General features: G+C 41.8%; 1 protein-coding gene and 1 pseudogene across 19 annotated transcripts in view, besides 1 other annotated feature; one reads left to right on the top strand and one right to left on the bottom strand.

Annotated features, from left to right (window-relative positions):
- The window catches only part of CEP112 (centrosomal protein 112), a 556,597-nt gene that overhangs the window by 13,735 nt on the left and 527,251 nt on the right, over window positions 1-15,611 (bottom strand). The window contains exon 25 of one of the 19 annotated variants that reach the window (XR_007065281.1): window positions 12,465-12,543. The exons of 17 other annotated variants lie outside the window; for them this stretch is intronic. Coding sequence is in view for 1 of the 2 variants with exons in the window: in XM_047435527.1 (XP_047291483.1) it covers window positions 12,540-12,548 (9 nt within the window). In the remaining variant the exon portion in view is untranslated. Of the gene's footprint in view, window positions 1-12,464; window positions 12,549-15,611 lie in introns of those variants that run through there. One more of the 19 variants, XM_047435527.1, reaches the window with a different exon arrangement.
- On the top strand, window positions 2,736-8,828 carry LOC107984971 (dynactin subunit 6-like; annotated as a pseudogene).
- Window positions 7,785-7,834: an enhancer, noted in NCBI's record as "active region_12612". NCBI's record gives its function as "activates an Ori minimal core promoter by ATAC-STARR-seq in GM12878 lymphoblastoid cells {active_cell/tissue: GM12878}" and the evidence as "EXISTENCE:reporter gene assay evidence [ECO:0000049][PMID:35858748]".

Below are 15,611 nucleotides of genomic sequence, written 5' to 3' on the forward strand. Positions count from 1 at the left end.
TGCCTAACACGGAATTGTCTTTTGAGGAGCTGAGAAAAGAGGAACCTCCTATTCCATTGCCACTGGTTTATGCTACAGTGGTGGTTTATATGTCTCTGCATAGTCCTTTATTATCATATTTTGAAGTAAGGGTGAAGCAGTTCAGGAAAATAAGTGTGCATGAGGCCAGGTGTGGTGGCTCATGCCTCTAATCCCAGCACTTTGGGAGGCTGAGGCAGGAGTATTGCTTGAACTCAAGAGTTCAAGACCAGCCTGGGCAACATAATGAGACCTCATTTCTACTAAAAATAAAAAAAAATTAGCTGGGCGTGGTGGCATGCATCTGCGGTCCCAGCTACTTGAGAGTCTGAGGTGGGAGGGTCACTTGAGTCCAGGAGATCCAGGCTTCAGTGAGCTATGTTTGTGCCACTGCACCCAGCCTAGGCAACTGAATAAGACCCTGTCTCAAAAAAAAAAAAAAAAAAGTGTGCCCAATATTACTTTACAAAGCCCAACAAGCATTTCTGGGGGCAGTTCAGCAGAGAAAAAGGGGAACTAAGTAAAAATTCTATGGATGTTATCTCCTTAATCTCTTTCCACTTTGCCACTGGTACCATCCCAATCCAGAATACATTCAATACATTCATCTTGCACCTGGATGACTGCAATATTGGTATGTTGGTTTTGCTTTTCAAGCAGAATTTGCTTAACTTTTAAGATCAAAATTAATATCCTGTATATGGCCAACAAGGCCCTGTACTGTCTGGCCCTATCCACCTGCTAACCTCCTGCAACTCCAGAGAGTCACCTGGCCTCTGGAATACCAGACATGTTTGCTTTCTTCCAATTCATTCACCAATGCCCTGTGCTTTTTCTCACAACAGGATGGTTCTTGTTTTTTCTCTAATTCTTCTTTCTTGTTGTGTGGGGTTTTGCCACTGTGTCCATCTGGACATCTGGATGTTGGGGGCCCCTGCTCTGTGGTGATGTCAGGGAGGGTGCAGATCTAGGCACCCAGGGGGAGGGAGCTTGGCCAGACCTTCATGATGAGGCTGTGTTGGGGCCAACTGACTCCCCTTTAGACAAGCCATATAGCCCTGAGTGTGGCAGGCATGAGCTTCATTAGCAAAAACGGGCCCCACACCAGCCCTTGCTTTCAAGCTGCAACCCAGGCTCCTAGCACTTTCCTGGCAAGGAGCACTTCTAGCATTTTTAGCCCCTGTCATCCCTAACACGTTTCCTCCCAGCTGCCTCTGCTTGCTGCTGGGCTCAGTACCTGGAGGCTGTGGCCTCACTCACCACTTGGGTTCTGCTCTGTTTCTACATCACAGAGATGTTCGTCTTGCTTTTAATACCAAATACTGGCCAGGAGCGGTGGCTCATGCCTGTAATCCCAGCACTTTGGGAGGCCAAGGTGGGCAGATCACCTGAGGTCAAGAGTTCAAGACCAGCCTAGCCAACATGGTGAAAACTCTCTACTAAAAAAAAAAAAAAAAAAAAAAAAAAATTAGCTGGGCATGGTGGTGAGTGCCTGTAGTCCCAGCTACTCAGGGAGGCTGACGCAGGAGAATCGCTTGAACCCAGGAGGCGGAGGTTGCAGTGAGCCAAGAAAACAAATCCATCTTTCTAATTCTCTCTCTCGCTCTCTTTTTTTTCTCTCTTTCTCTATATATTTTTTATGTATATATATATTTTATTTCCATAAGGTTTTTGGGGAACAGGTGGTATTTGGTTACATGGGTAAGTTCTTTAGTGGTGATTTGGGAAAATTTGGTGCAAACCATCACCTGAGCAGTGTACACTGAACCCAGTGTATAGTCTTTTATTCCTCGCCCCCTTCCCACCCTTTCTCCCTGAGTCCCCAAAGTCCATTGTGTCATTCTTATTCCTTTGTATCCTCATAGCTTAGCTCCCACTTACGAGTGAGAACATATGGTGTTTAGTTTTCCATCCCTGAGTTACTTCACTTAGAGTAATAGTCTCCAACTCCATTCAGGGTGCTGTGAATGCCATTAATTCATTCCTTTTTATGGCTGAGTAGTATTCTATTGCATATAGACCACAGTTTCTTTATCCACTCATTGATTGATGGACATCTGGGTTGGTTCCACGTTTATGCACCCCTTGTGAATTGTGCTGCCATAAACATGTGTGTGCAAGTATCTTTTTCATTTAATGACTTCTTTTCCTCTGGGTAGATACCCAGTAGTGGGATTGCTGGATCAAGTGATAGTTCTACTCTCTCTTCTTTAAGAAATATCCACACTGTTTTCCATAGTGGTTGTACTAGTTTACATTCCCAACAGCAGTGCAGAAGTGTTCCCTTTTCATTGCATCCACACCAAAATCTATTATTTTTTGATTTTTTGATTATGGTCATTCCTTCCTTCCTCTCTTTCTTTCTCTTTCTTTCTCCTTCCTTCCTTCCTTCCTTCTTTCCTTCCTTCCTTCCTTTCTTTTCTTTCTTTCTTGTCAAGTCTCACTCTGTCACCCAGGCAGAAGTGCAGTGTCATGGTCTCAGCTCACTACAAACTCCACCTCCCAGGTTCAAGTGATTCTCCTGCCTCAGCCTCCTGAGTAGCTGGGATTAAGGCATGCACCACCACTACACCCAGCTAATTTTTGTATTTTTAGTAGAGATAGGGTTTCACCATGTTCGCCAGGCTGGTCTCCAACTCCTGACCTCAGGTGATCCGCCTGCCTTGGCCTCCCAAAGTGCTGGGATAACAGGCATGAGCCACTGCGCCCAGCTGATTATGGCCATTCTTGAGAGTGTAAGGTGTTATACAAATGGCAAAAAATGCTCAACATCACTAATGATCAGGAAAATGCAAATCAAAACCACAATGTGATCTCTTTTTATATTTTATCAATCATTGTAGAGTGTTTGGAGCTGAGGGGGTGCCTGGTAATATGAGCTAATAGAGCCATCTAGTAGAAAAGGACAGACTCTTTTGTAATCTTTTGATTTAATAAAGTGTAGGGATTAAGAGCCCAGATACTGAAACTGGGGTATCTGGAGTTGGGTCTGAGTTGTGCCCCTAATCTGTGTGCTCCCAGAAAGAGTAACTTCTCTGTGCCTCAGTTTTCTTATCAGGAAAATAACTTTTCAAGGCCACCGTGAAGATTAGATGATTTAACACCTGCAAAATTTTTATAAGTTGCACATAATAGATGTTCAATAAACATTAGTTATCATTATATGACTTAATGGAGATTTTTATTATATATATTTCATTATATTATGTATATAGCATGAATTACATTTATATATATATTCCATTTAGCCAATTCTCTATCATTAGACTTTATTGCTATTTCTAATTATTTGCAACATTAGAAATCCTTATAGCAAGTTATTTGCATAAATTAATGATTGAGGACTCCATTGAAATGTTTTTGTATTTTTTAGTATCTGTGGATTGAGAAAGTACCTTACCAAAAGCTCCTATGAATCCAGAATCAATTTTAAATGAATTTATATTTTATAATTCAAAACAATCTATATATATTTGAAAAACAGTAGTGCCTGTTTATCCAGGATACCAACAATGGCTAGTGAGTGTCTTAGTTTGGGCTGCTATAACAAATACCATAGATTGAGCAGATTAATCAATAAGCATATATTTCTCACAGTTCTGGAGGCTGAAAGTCCAAGATCAGGGTGCCAACATGGCCAGGTTCTTGGAAAGGGCTCTCTTCCTGCTTCCAGTTTACAGCAATGTGTATGTGGACCTCCCCATATGGCCTTTCCTTGATGCGCTCTGGTCTCTCTTCCTCTTTTTATAAAGACATTCATCTCATTATGGGGGACCTACCCTCATGACCTCATCTAGATCTAATTACCTCCCAAAGGCCACCTCCGAATACCATCACATTGGGGATTAGGGATTCAACATATGAATTTGGGAGGGGACACAAACATTCATTGTATAGCAGTGTGCATATGAATTTTCTCAGATCCTTGTCAATAACTCTGGTCCACAGGTGGGGAACCATTGCTTTATTGTAAATGACTTAATTTAAGGGAAGGATCTCAGCTCAAAACTCTCTTTCCATCTGGATTTCCACCAATACATAGGAGGATTAAGGGAAAATAACATATACTTCTACTCCTTGTGGATTATTCAGAAACTGTTCTTTGAATGTCTGGCTTAGCAGAATGTGTTAAGTAAAGTGAGTTTGACTGGTGGGTAGATTGAAGGGGGCAGGAGGAGGGGAGGGAGAAAAAGAGGTGACTTTGGAGCATGGCGTGTACTCTGAGGGAGGGTGGACAAGGGCAGGCACTGCAATTGGCCATCTGGTGTAAGAAGAGTGCAGCAAAAAGACACAGGGCTTCTGAAGGGTGGCGAAGGGCCAGAGGAGGTGGGCAGGAGCTGGGCACAGGAAGGCTTGCTGGGAGGGATCAGATGTAACATAAACAGGAATGTGGAGGATGTTTCTGAGGGATGGGCCTTTATGCAGCCAAACGTTTTTGCATAGGCTTTTTAGGGGAATGAGTATATTTTGGTTTCAAGAATAAGAATGAGGGCTGGGCACGTGGCTCATGCCTGTAATCCCAGCACTTTGGGAGCCAGAGGCGGGCAGACCACAAGGTCAGGAGGTCAAGACCAGCCTGGCCAACATGGTGAAAACCCATCTCTACGAAAAATACAAAAATTAGCCGGGCGTGGTGGTGCGCACCTGTAGTCCCAGCTGCTTGGGAGGCTGAGGCAGGAGAATTGCTTGAACCCAGGAGACAGAGGTTGCAGTAAGCCGAGATTGCGCCACTGTACTCTAGCCTGGCAACCAGAGCAAGACTCCATCAAAAAAAAAAAAAAAAAAAAAAAAAGAATAGGAATGAAAGAAATAGTAGTAAAAGATGATGCCAAAAAAATGCTGTAGTACAGGTGAGAAAATGTACCGCCTTCTAAGAAATTCCATTCTTATTGGGGTTAAAGTATCATGTGTTGCCACAGCAACTGCCAAGAAAAATCCGTTTTAAGAAAGGTGCTCTGCTGCAGAGCTCATGTACTTTGATTCTGAAGTATAAAGTGAAAATGTAGAAATAACTGCAATTTTCTTAACAATCTTAAAAATATTCATTTCCCGCCTTTCTTCAATATCATTTCCTCTTCACTTTCTTTATTCTAACTGGCGTCCTCTCAAACTAAGCGTGCAGCGCAATAGGAGTCCTCCATTCCCTGTTCATAGGAACCGTTCCACCGCAAGGGAGTGAAGCCTGCTGCTTAACAGGCCTGGGACTCCAAGGCAAGCGGGTGGCTGGTGCAGGAAGCAGTTGCCGACCTCTGTTGTTTGAAGGTGGCATGAACTAGTTTCTGGAAAGGGTTATATTTTCAGGACCATTTTCTGATCCTGTGGAGAAAAAGGTGGCTTTAGCATGAGTGAATGGTTCAAACCTAGCACTTTAATTAGGTTTAGGTGCTCTAAATCCAGCTTCAGGTAGTTCAAAAGATTCTCTGACACCAAAAAGAAAACAAAGGTCTGGTAAGTCTGCCTCTAAGGATTCACACACAGAGGAAAGACAGAAAATGGATAACATAGTCAAAGGCCAGAAAATTACTAATAAACTGTCTGAATTTGTTCATGAATCAAAGACTTAAATTCTGAATAAGATTGAGGTTGTCACTGGGGTCGTACCATGGCAGCAAAGACTCAGAAGAGGAACTCGGACAGCGATCCATCCTAAAGCACAAATTATTGCGGAAGCCGGGCCAATAGTGATTGGCAAAGGGAACCTGATAGAAGAACAGGCCCTTATCATAAATGCTTCCTCGGATAGTATCACTCTTGACACTGGAGATCCAGAACCAAAACCTATGATCATTGGCACCAATAATGTGTTTAAAGTTGGCGTCATTCCCAAGCCATGGAGATGGGAGATAATAATGTCATTGAATTAAAAGTGTATGTAGGCAGAAATCTAATATTGACAAGTGGCTGTCTCACTGGCGCTTGTTGCAACCTAAACACTTTTGAAGTCATCCCGGAGAATACGGTGATCTATGGTGCAGACTGCCTTTGTTGGGTGCAGGCTGAGCGACCGCAGCCTCAGACACTACAGCTGGATTTCTCGATGAAAATCTTGCCAAATTACCACCACCTAAAGAAGACTACGAAAGGAAGCTCAACTCCAGTAAAGAACTAAGAACAGTACATGACATGAAGATAACATTTTGTCTTTGACTGCTGTCTTTTGAATGGGCCACAGTGTTTATGTACTCTTAGCAGCTCACAGAATAATACATGTTGACTTTATTTTGTAAAATTGGGTTGAGAGGAAAGTAATGGATTTTCATTGTAACTGTCCTTTATAATTCATGTAAAATGTATTATTTTCCTTTATCCTTGCTTCTTTTCTGATAATTTACAGATTTAGCTTTTCTTTTGTTATATAAACTGCTAGCCACAAATTTTAGTTATGTAAAAGACTACCCATTACAAGAAAGGACATATTGTTATGTATTTATATTCTGGCATAAGCTAAACTGAATAAAAATACTGGTAACAGGAAAAAAAAAAGATTGAGGTTGTGATGTAAAATAAACACATGTGAATATTAAAATTTTGGACAGTATTTTGCATATAAGCAATACCCTTTACTTCCTGATGGAGATGGAAAAGCTAAAACCATATTACAGAGCTCCTATTAATAAATGTGGCCTTGGGAGGTACTCATTTAGAATTTCTCAAGACACATGTAGCGGAGATTTTATTCAGCAGCATTCATTCCAGCATTTACTCCAGCATTATTCACCAGTTTTCTGGTAACTGGAATCTACCCCTCTCCCATTCTCTGACCCACCCAAGGGTCAGGGGTAGAGTATGTGACGGGACCCTAAGGCAATCATCACGTCGCATTATCTGGAGCCATAACTATTGAGGGCCTGGTAACATGATCCAAGTCCAGGTAACCAGAGTCACTGACAGTCAAAGGATGCAGACTCTCTCATCCACTGGACTTTCCCCATTGATGTCATTCTGGAATTGTGACAACCATCTTGCTACCACAGAGTAAGAAGTGAACTGAGGGTTTTGGCAATCCAGGGGAAGAATTGAGAAGTGGAGAAAAATAAACTAAGCCCTTTATCAATCTGTACCTAGAGTTAGCCCTGTCTTTGGATTTTTCAGTTTGGGTTAGATTTTCTGTCACTTGCAACCCAAACGGTCTGAATTGAAACAACATAGAATATGCAAAATATTCACTTACATTTATGCGTGTTGCATCTGTTAGACCAGGGGTCAACAAACTTCAGCCTGCAGACCAAATTTGGGACACTGCTTGTTTTTGTAAATAAAGTTTTACTGGAACACAGCCATGCTCATTTGTTTACTTATTGTCTGTGATTGCTTTCTCATGACAATGGCAGTATTGAGTAGTCTTGACAGAGACCTTATAGCTCACAAAGCCCTGAAACATTTGTTATCTGGCCCTTTATAGAAAGTTGGCTGACCCCTGTGACTAGACCAAGCTCCACTAGGTAGGGACTGTGTTCATTTTGCTGACTGCTATGGCCTCAGCATTTAGCATGGTGCCTGGCATATGGTAGCAACTCAATACAATAAATATTTGCTGATGAATGAACGAATCACACAGAGCTTACAACCTTTGGTGTTAAGTCAGTCTTTGTCTCAAAATGACAAGGTCTTCGGAATGTCTACAGTAAACTCATCACACATGCTCTCCCTAAAGACAAAGAGAAGATTCTGTCATCTCAGTATTGCAGTTCTTAATCAGCACAGTGGCTATTAATAAGTAGGCTGGCTTCAAAGCTGAGAAAGTCGGAGGCAAACACCAGGGCCTACGGGGCTGCTGAGATCAAAGAGGATCTTAGAGATTCACCCCGAAGGAGGGGAGTTGGTTTCATCATGCTCTTTCCTCCTCTGTGCTTCTCCAGTTTACTCACTATCAGACTTTTTATATATGGTTGAGATAGTCAATGACTCATGCCTCTTTTCTTCTAAAACCAAATGCCAGCTCCTTTCTTGCTAGAATATATAATTTTGGTCTCATTTCTAATGTTTTTCTTGTTAATAATAACATTCCTAATATTTTTTCTTTCCTTAGGTTGATATATACTATGAATACTCCATTCTTTTAAAGAAGAGCTGGTACAGGTCCTAAAGCAGTTTGAGCAGTACAGCAATTCTACAGGCATGGGATGAGAAAGGCTGAATGTGGAAAGTCTGGACAGGTACATGTTGAAGAACGTGAATATTTGGAGGACCAAGTTTAAACAAGTTGGAAGGAAGCACCTTCTCTATGTTGCAAGGTACATCCCTGAAAGCGTTTGGGGAAAACCTGGGGGAGGGATAGGGTGTTTTTCACTTCTGTTTACAATGTCTGACTTTCCTCTCAGAAAGAGGGTGACTAGGCCTTTTTGGTTGGGGCTGGACTTCCTAAAAAAGGTAGTTTTCATCAACAAAGGACCAAAACCCCAACCAAAGGGTAGGTGAGACTCTTGAGGTTTATAACTGACTTTGTTAATAAAAGACCCAAGAAAACCTATAGAATAAGGCTGATACTCAGTGAGGCTGATGGGGGTTTTGGAGTCTCCCTGATATTTACAATTTATACATAGAAGTAAGGTTGGAGCACTGGACACATAGCAAATGCTTAGTAAATATTGTTTTAATGAGTAAAAGGCTGAACAAAGTTGTTGTTGAATAGGTAGGTGGCACCTTGAAATTATGGAAGGTAGTAAAGGTTATGTCAACAAATTTAGATTGAATGTAGTAAAAAATAGAAAAAGCAAAGAAAACCCCACATTATGAACACCTTATATGTGCCAGATACTGTATTAAGCAATTGCTGCATAATCTTTTACATACTGTGATGATTCTATTTAATTCTTACATACAATTTGGAAGACAGACATTATCTACTCACTCCATAGAGAAGGAAACAGGTACACAGTGCGTAACTGCTAGAACCACGATTGAAACCTGACATCTAAGCCTGTACTGTGCCCATTTATTACTGGGAGGTGGAGAAGGGAATAGGATTGATCTGGAAATATTGTGATGGAATCTCAGGAGAGGAGATTCTGGGATTCAGGGGGGCAGCTGGGAGCTGCTGGAGTGATCTAGGAAAGTGAGGAACTCCTAGTCTGATCTGAGGTGATGGCTATGGGAAGGTCATAAAATAGAAGCTGATTAATTACCTGTCTCATAGAATAGAAGCAAGAGATGAGTTGTATGAGAATATATGCTTCAGCCATGTGCCTAGAAGAAGGGTGATGTTCCTGCAGAGACAAGGCAATGGGTACAGTACAGGGAGTTGGTCTGGGTGTAAGCAGGACACAAGGTATGTTTGGGGGTTTGCATTTACTTAGTTTGAGGAGCAGAGGAAACATTCATAAGGAAATATGCGAGTAGAGCTCAGGAGAAAAGCAGGACTAGAGGCCCAAGAATCACAGGCCAGAAGAAGAAGCTGTAGCCTCGGGAATGGAAGAGCTCTCTGAAGGGGAAAGGGGAGAACAGGAATGTCCCAGGAGCCAAGGCTCATCTATAAGGGACTTCCACATTTAGGATGTAGAAGAAGGAAGCAGAAGCAGGGAATGACCAGAAATGGCCCCAGAGATGAGACGAAAGTTAGGAGAGCGGGGAGCAAGCCTTTAGGTTTCACAAGGGAAGGAGGGAAAGTAGGTGTTAGGTGCTGCCAAGATCAAGGAAAATAAGCAGAAGACCAGGCCATTTCAGTTGCAGTGAGCCAAGATCACGCCACTGCACTCCAGCCTGGGTGACAGAGCGAGACTCTGTCTCAAAAAAAAAAAAAAAAAAAAAAAAAATATCAGACCATTTCTATCCCCTGCCTTGAATATCACCACCGCATAGGAAATAGAATGGTCTAGATAGCAGATTAATCACGACGGATTTTGGTGATCAACAGTGCTACAGATAAGGGGAGTTTAAGAAGAAATTAATTTGTTGATAAACATATAGTTTCCTATTTTAAAGCAAAACTTAAAAGATCCACATCTAACCTTCAGTTAAATATCGTTCAAAATATCTGATTTAGACAGAGAGTTCTGACCTGGTTTGAGGGCATTTTTCAAAAGAGGCAAGCTACGACTGCTCTTTCTTTTCTGCATATTTAAACTCTTGACAATTATAAATAATCTAAACCTCTCCCTCAAAGTACCAATTATCTCCTTATGTTTGAGAAGGCATGTCTTGCCAGATATGGTATTCTATACAAAACACAAAATAGGAAGACAAAGGCAGCCGTTGTCCCACCGGTGCACCCCGGATTTACTTAGGCAGCTCGATGAACGCTAATGAGGATTTTGTGCATGAATCTCCCACCTTCCAGCTAAAGGGAACTGAGACCCCACAACCTCACAGCAGAACATTTCTTAACACCATTGTAAACACTGACTCCATTCAGGAGTTGTTCACCTTTACACAGCAGAGAGAAAAGAATTTTTTGTTCAATTAAAACTTAGGGAGTGTGACGTCATCAAAATACTTCCTTTAGGCTTTCTGAAAGAAAAAAGCTTATACTTTTTACACGAGAAGTAAAAAGGAGCTTCAGAAATACATAACTGACATATAATAGGCCAGGAAGGGAACAGGAGACATCAGTAACTCCTATGTGGGATAATGGAGGCCATCACAGAGGTGATGAGATTTGACTGGGACATTGAAGAATGAGTAGGAACTTTCAAGATGGATGAGAGGAAGAAAAAACTGCTAGCTGAGGAAAGGGCAGGAAGCATAGAGGTGACTGTGTGTGGCATGCTTAGGGACTGTCACAGGGTAGAGTATGGGTGGAGGTCATGGGGTGGGCAGGGGATAAGTGAGATAGGTGGAGACAAGGTGGTTAGGACTTTGAAGCTTATGCCAAGGTACCTGGGCTTTATTCTGAAGACAATGGAAAAACTAACTCAAGGTTTCTGATTGGAGACTAATATACCTTGATTTCTCCTTCCTTCCTTCCTTCCTTCCTTCCTTCTTTCCTTCCCTCCCTCCCTCCTTCCTTCCTCTTTTTTGTTTTCTTTCTTTTTTCTTTTCTTTTTCTCCTTCCTTCCTTCCTCCCTCCTTCTCTTTTCTCTCTTTCTTTCTTCCTTTCTTTCTCTTTCTTTCTTTTTCTCTCTCGTTCCTTCCTCCCTCCCTCCCTTCCTTCCTTCCTTCCTCCCTCCCTCCCTTCCTTTCTCCCTCCCACCCTCCCTCCTTCTTTCTTTCTTTCTCTCTCTCTCTTCTCTCTCTCCTTCCTTCCTTCCTTCCTTCCTTCCTTCCTTCCTTCCTTCCTTCCTTCCTTCCTTCTTCCCTTCTTCCTTTCTTCTCTTTTTTTCTTCTCGTTTCTTTTTCAGACAGGTTCTCACTCTGTTGCCCAGGTTGGACAGCAGTGATGCAACCACAGCTCACTGCAGCCTCCACCTTCTGGTCTTAGGTGATCCTCCCACCTCAACCTCCCAAGTAGCTGGGACTACAGGCGTGTACCACCATGCCTTGCTAATTTTTGTATTTTTTTTTGTAGAAACAAGGTTTTTGCCATGTTGCCCAGCCCAGGCTGGGCAATCTACCTGCTTGAGGTGAGCTCAAGCAATCCACCCACTTTGGCTTCCCACAGCGCCGCCTGGCCATACCTTGATTTCTGTTACAGGAAGAGAAACCTAATGTCACCATCCTGCTTCTAGTTTTTTCCTTCTCCAGCTGATTCTCCACACTGTTGCATGTTTCTCTAAAATGCAGATCTGATCATCTCACCCCAACCCCACTCCCATATAAAAACACTTCTGTGATTTCTTTCATCTGTAGATTAAAGACAACCTCCTTTGCATGGATCATCTAAGAACCTTCTCATATGGTCTTAGACTAATTTTCCAGGACCTTGTGCTCCAGTAATGACTTGGCATTTTCCCCAAAAGTCCCATGTCATGTTGTGACTCATGCCTTTGCACATGCTGTTTTGTGCTCCTCTGCGCCCTTCCTTCCTCTGAACTGGCTAGAGAACCACTCTCCATTCTTACATAGGACCTTCTCCACCACACCCTCCCACAGCCTTCTAGTCACGGTAACCAACCCTTCCACTAAAATGCCTTGGTATTATGTTCATCTAACAGTTACTGATTGACACTTAAGGGGTGTTTTCTATGTATTAGGCACCATAGTGTACTCTTTTGCATATATTATATTTCATTTAATCTTCTACGAATGCTATATGGTACTTTCATGGCTGTTTACATAAGAAGAAATAGGCTTATCCATAGTCACACAGCTACTTGGTACCTGAGTCAGGACCTGTACAAGGTCTTCCTTACCCGAGAGCCTCCGCTTGTACTTCATTATCAGATACTATTATAACTATTGATTTGCACACTGCTTTCTCCTATTAGACTGTGGGTTCCCTGAGAGTAAGTTCTATGTTGAACCGGAGATCAACGTTATTTCAAAAGTATATAAGATTAAATAATTATTCTTTTGAAGTTTGAGACCATTACATGGACTGTTTTTGCCAATGTAAAGACATTTTTGCTAACCTATTATGTAGGCTGGAGTTTGCATGAAGCAGATCATATACAACCACGTAGACCTGGGCTCACTTCATCGGCATTTCATCTGCTCTAGGTGAGATGGAGAAACGGCAGCCAGTTAGTAGTTCATTTTCCATCTTTCAAGAGAGATTGACATCTATATTTTTTTTACACAGCAGATAAACTGGTAATGAATATATATATGTGTGTGTGTGTGTGTATATATATGTTTATTTATTTATTAAAAAATTTTTTTTGAGATAGGGTCTCACTCTGTCACCCAGGCTAGAGTGCAGTGACGCAATCATGGCTCACTGCAGCCTCAACTTCATGGGCTCAGGTGATCCTCCCACCTCGGCCTCCTGAGTAGCTGGGACCACAGGTGGGCACCACCACGCCTGACTAAGTTCTGTATTTTTTGTAGAGACTGGGTTTTACCATGTTGCCCAGCCTGGTGGTAATGAATATTAACTTGGCTTGGTCCACTTAGACATACATGAAAGGACAATTTCTGTTAGAAACACTTACATAAGAATATGAAAAAGATAAGTACACTGTTACTGACTTAGATAAAACCAGTGCAACCTTAAGAAACAGTACTGGGAGAGCAATAGTCATGTTAGATTGAGCAAGAGGCTGCATCTTCTAATCTTTTTTTCATGATTATTTTCACTAGTGTGCTCTTTCAGGAATGTCTCTGTGCATTCTTTATAAAACTGTTGCCCAGATCTTTTTTTAAATCACATCAAACCAAAAAAGGTCAAATAAAGAGCAGGAAGATTTTGTTCTTTCCGTTGAAGGCATTTCTTTAATATTAAAAATGTACTGAAATGTAGAAATCATATTCTGATGATGTCTGAAAAGAATTCATGGTAAAGAGTAAAAAGACAAAGAAAAAAGCTCTCAACAATCACTGGTGGCTGAGGGCCGCAGTATCCTCATTGGGCCAGCTTTTTTCTTTACTTCAAATGGCAGAAAAAATTCACGATTTACAATTAGAAAAAAAATCCTAAACGTGTGTGGATATTACGATGAATGCCACTCTTCATGTTTATTGGCCCACATGGTAAAACACATTATGGTGAAAATTCCAACTTCATCTATAAGTGAAAACAAACAGAAAGGGCATCTTTTCTTATTCAAATAGAGTTCCAGAGGGTGTGTTTTTGCTTTATTTCCAACCATAAGAGGCTCCTATCTGAAGGATCTTTCTGTGTAGCTTGAGTGCCCAAGTTGGCAACTTAGGTCTCTATAACAATTTCATTCCCTCTCTTTATCTTGAACACGTATTTAAAACTGATGTTGGCAGCAGAAAGGCTAAGATTTTAGGGATAAGGGTACTATTTTATCTTGTATGATGTTAACTTTTTTCATCCAGCTTTGAGAAAATTCTTTTTTTCTCCTTCATTTTGATGAACTGAATTAATCTTGCTTCTTTATGTCCTTAGGAAGCTTTAAAATACTAAGACAGGTGAAACCAAGTCCCTGTACTAAAGGTGGCTTATGTGATCTTTGTCATATCCAGTAATCTTCTGTGATCTTTGTCATATCCAGTAATTTTGGAAATAAAAGGGTTGTTGTATTGTAAACTTAGGTTAATATATACTTTAAATGTCCCTTATGGCAAAGTAGATGTTTGATGGAATGAGAACTTTCAGGAGACTTGCCTGAGATTTTTTTAGTCTACACATGGTATAGCTCAACTTAGTTTGTGGATCACATATGGCAACCATAAGAAGTCTGAGAGAAAAAGGGGGGCGGCCAGTAGAAGGTAGGAGCTCCCTATATTTCTTAAACTATTCTGAGCCAATTGGATGGTAGAGACTGGTGGGTAGTTAGGTGAGAAAGTGCTAGGATGGTGGAGCTGCCTAGGAAACCCAGCCTGCAACCCAGCACAGAACTAGACATCTGCATTTTATGCCAGCTTCCTCCTTTGCCTCCCTGAACAATGCTGAATGCCTAAGAGTTGACCAGAAGTAGCCTCTGTTCTGTGCAGAACACAAAGGAGGAATCAAACCCTGTCTTCAAGGAAGTAACAGTTTTGGGGGGAAGCAAAATTAACCTATAAACATAATACAAGGCCGAGGCGGGCAGATCACGAGGTCAGGAGATCGGGACCATCTTGGCTAACACGGTGAAACCCTGTTTCTACCAAAAATACAAAAACTTAGCCAGGCGTGGTGGCGTGCGCCTGTAGTCCCAGCTACTCGGCAGGCTGAGGCAGGAGAATGGCCTGAACCCGGGAGGCGGAGCTTGCAGTGAGCCGAGATCGTGCTACTGCACTCCAGCCTGGGCGACAGAGCAAGACTCTGTCTCAAAAAAATAAATAAATAAAAAATAAAATAAACATTATACATCCAGCTACAGGGAAACTCAGTATAACAGACATTTGGGGAAAGAAAAAGATCTTTGGCCATGGCATTGCTTGGGAAGGTCTGTGGGAGGTGAGTTTTGAGCTGTGCTCCCAAAGCTGAGTAGCAGCTGAACAGGCAGAAGTTTGGCAAAAGGAAATTCCAGGTGAAGGAAAAACCATGAGCCAAGGCGAAAATGAGTGTGGCTGGTGTGAGAGCTGAGCACCCACACTTGGCTGAGGGCTTGACAGGAGATGCTTGGGAATGCTTAGAAATAATATTGGATAGTCCATTAATTAAGTTTTAAGAGAACTTAAAAGTCTGGCAGAGAGATCCAATAAGTGAGTGTGAGGCAGTTGTTTTTCTGAGCAGGGGAATAACATGATGACAATGGTATTTTAGGAAGATTGCCCAGATGTGACGCAGCTAGGAAGAGACCATTTTGTCCAAATCCAAGGTGATTAAGAGTCAAAGATGTCCATGGGGAGAACGGAGATGATGAATACAACTAAAGTGACATTTTGGAGGTAGAAATAACATGACTTGGTGATGAAATAGTTATAAGATGTGACCGATGCAGCAGGTAGAGCCCAAGACAATGAATGCCAAGGTTTCCAGCAGTCTTCCTCTCAATCCTGATAACACCATCAAGGACACAGCATCCCCACTGAACTATCTCTGTTACCTTTGGTTTCCTGGTTTCCACTTGTCTTAGTCAGCTCAGGCTGCTATAACAAAACACTGTGGATTGGGTGGCTTAAACAACAAACATTTATTCCTCATAGTTCTAGAGGCTGGGAAA

Source organism: Homo sapiens, chromosome 17, assembly GCF_000001405.40.
Source record: "Homo sapiens chromosome 17, GRCh38.p14 Primary Assembly".
Lineage (NCBI taxonomy): Eukaryota > Metazoa > Chordata > Mammalia > Primates > Hominidae > Homo > Homo sapiens.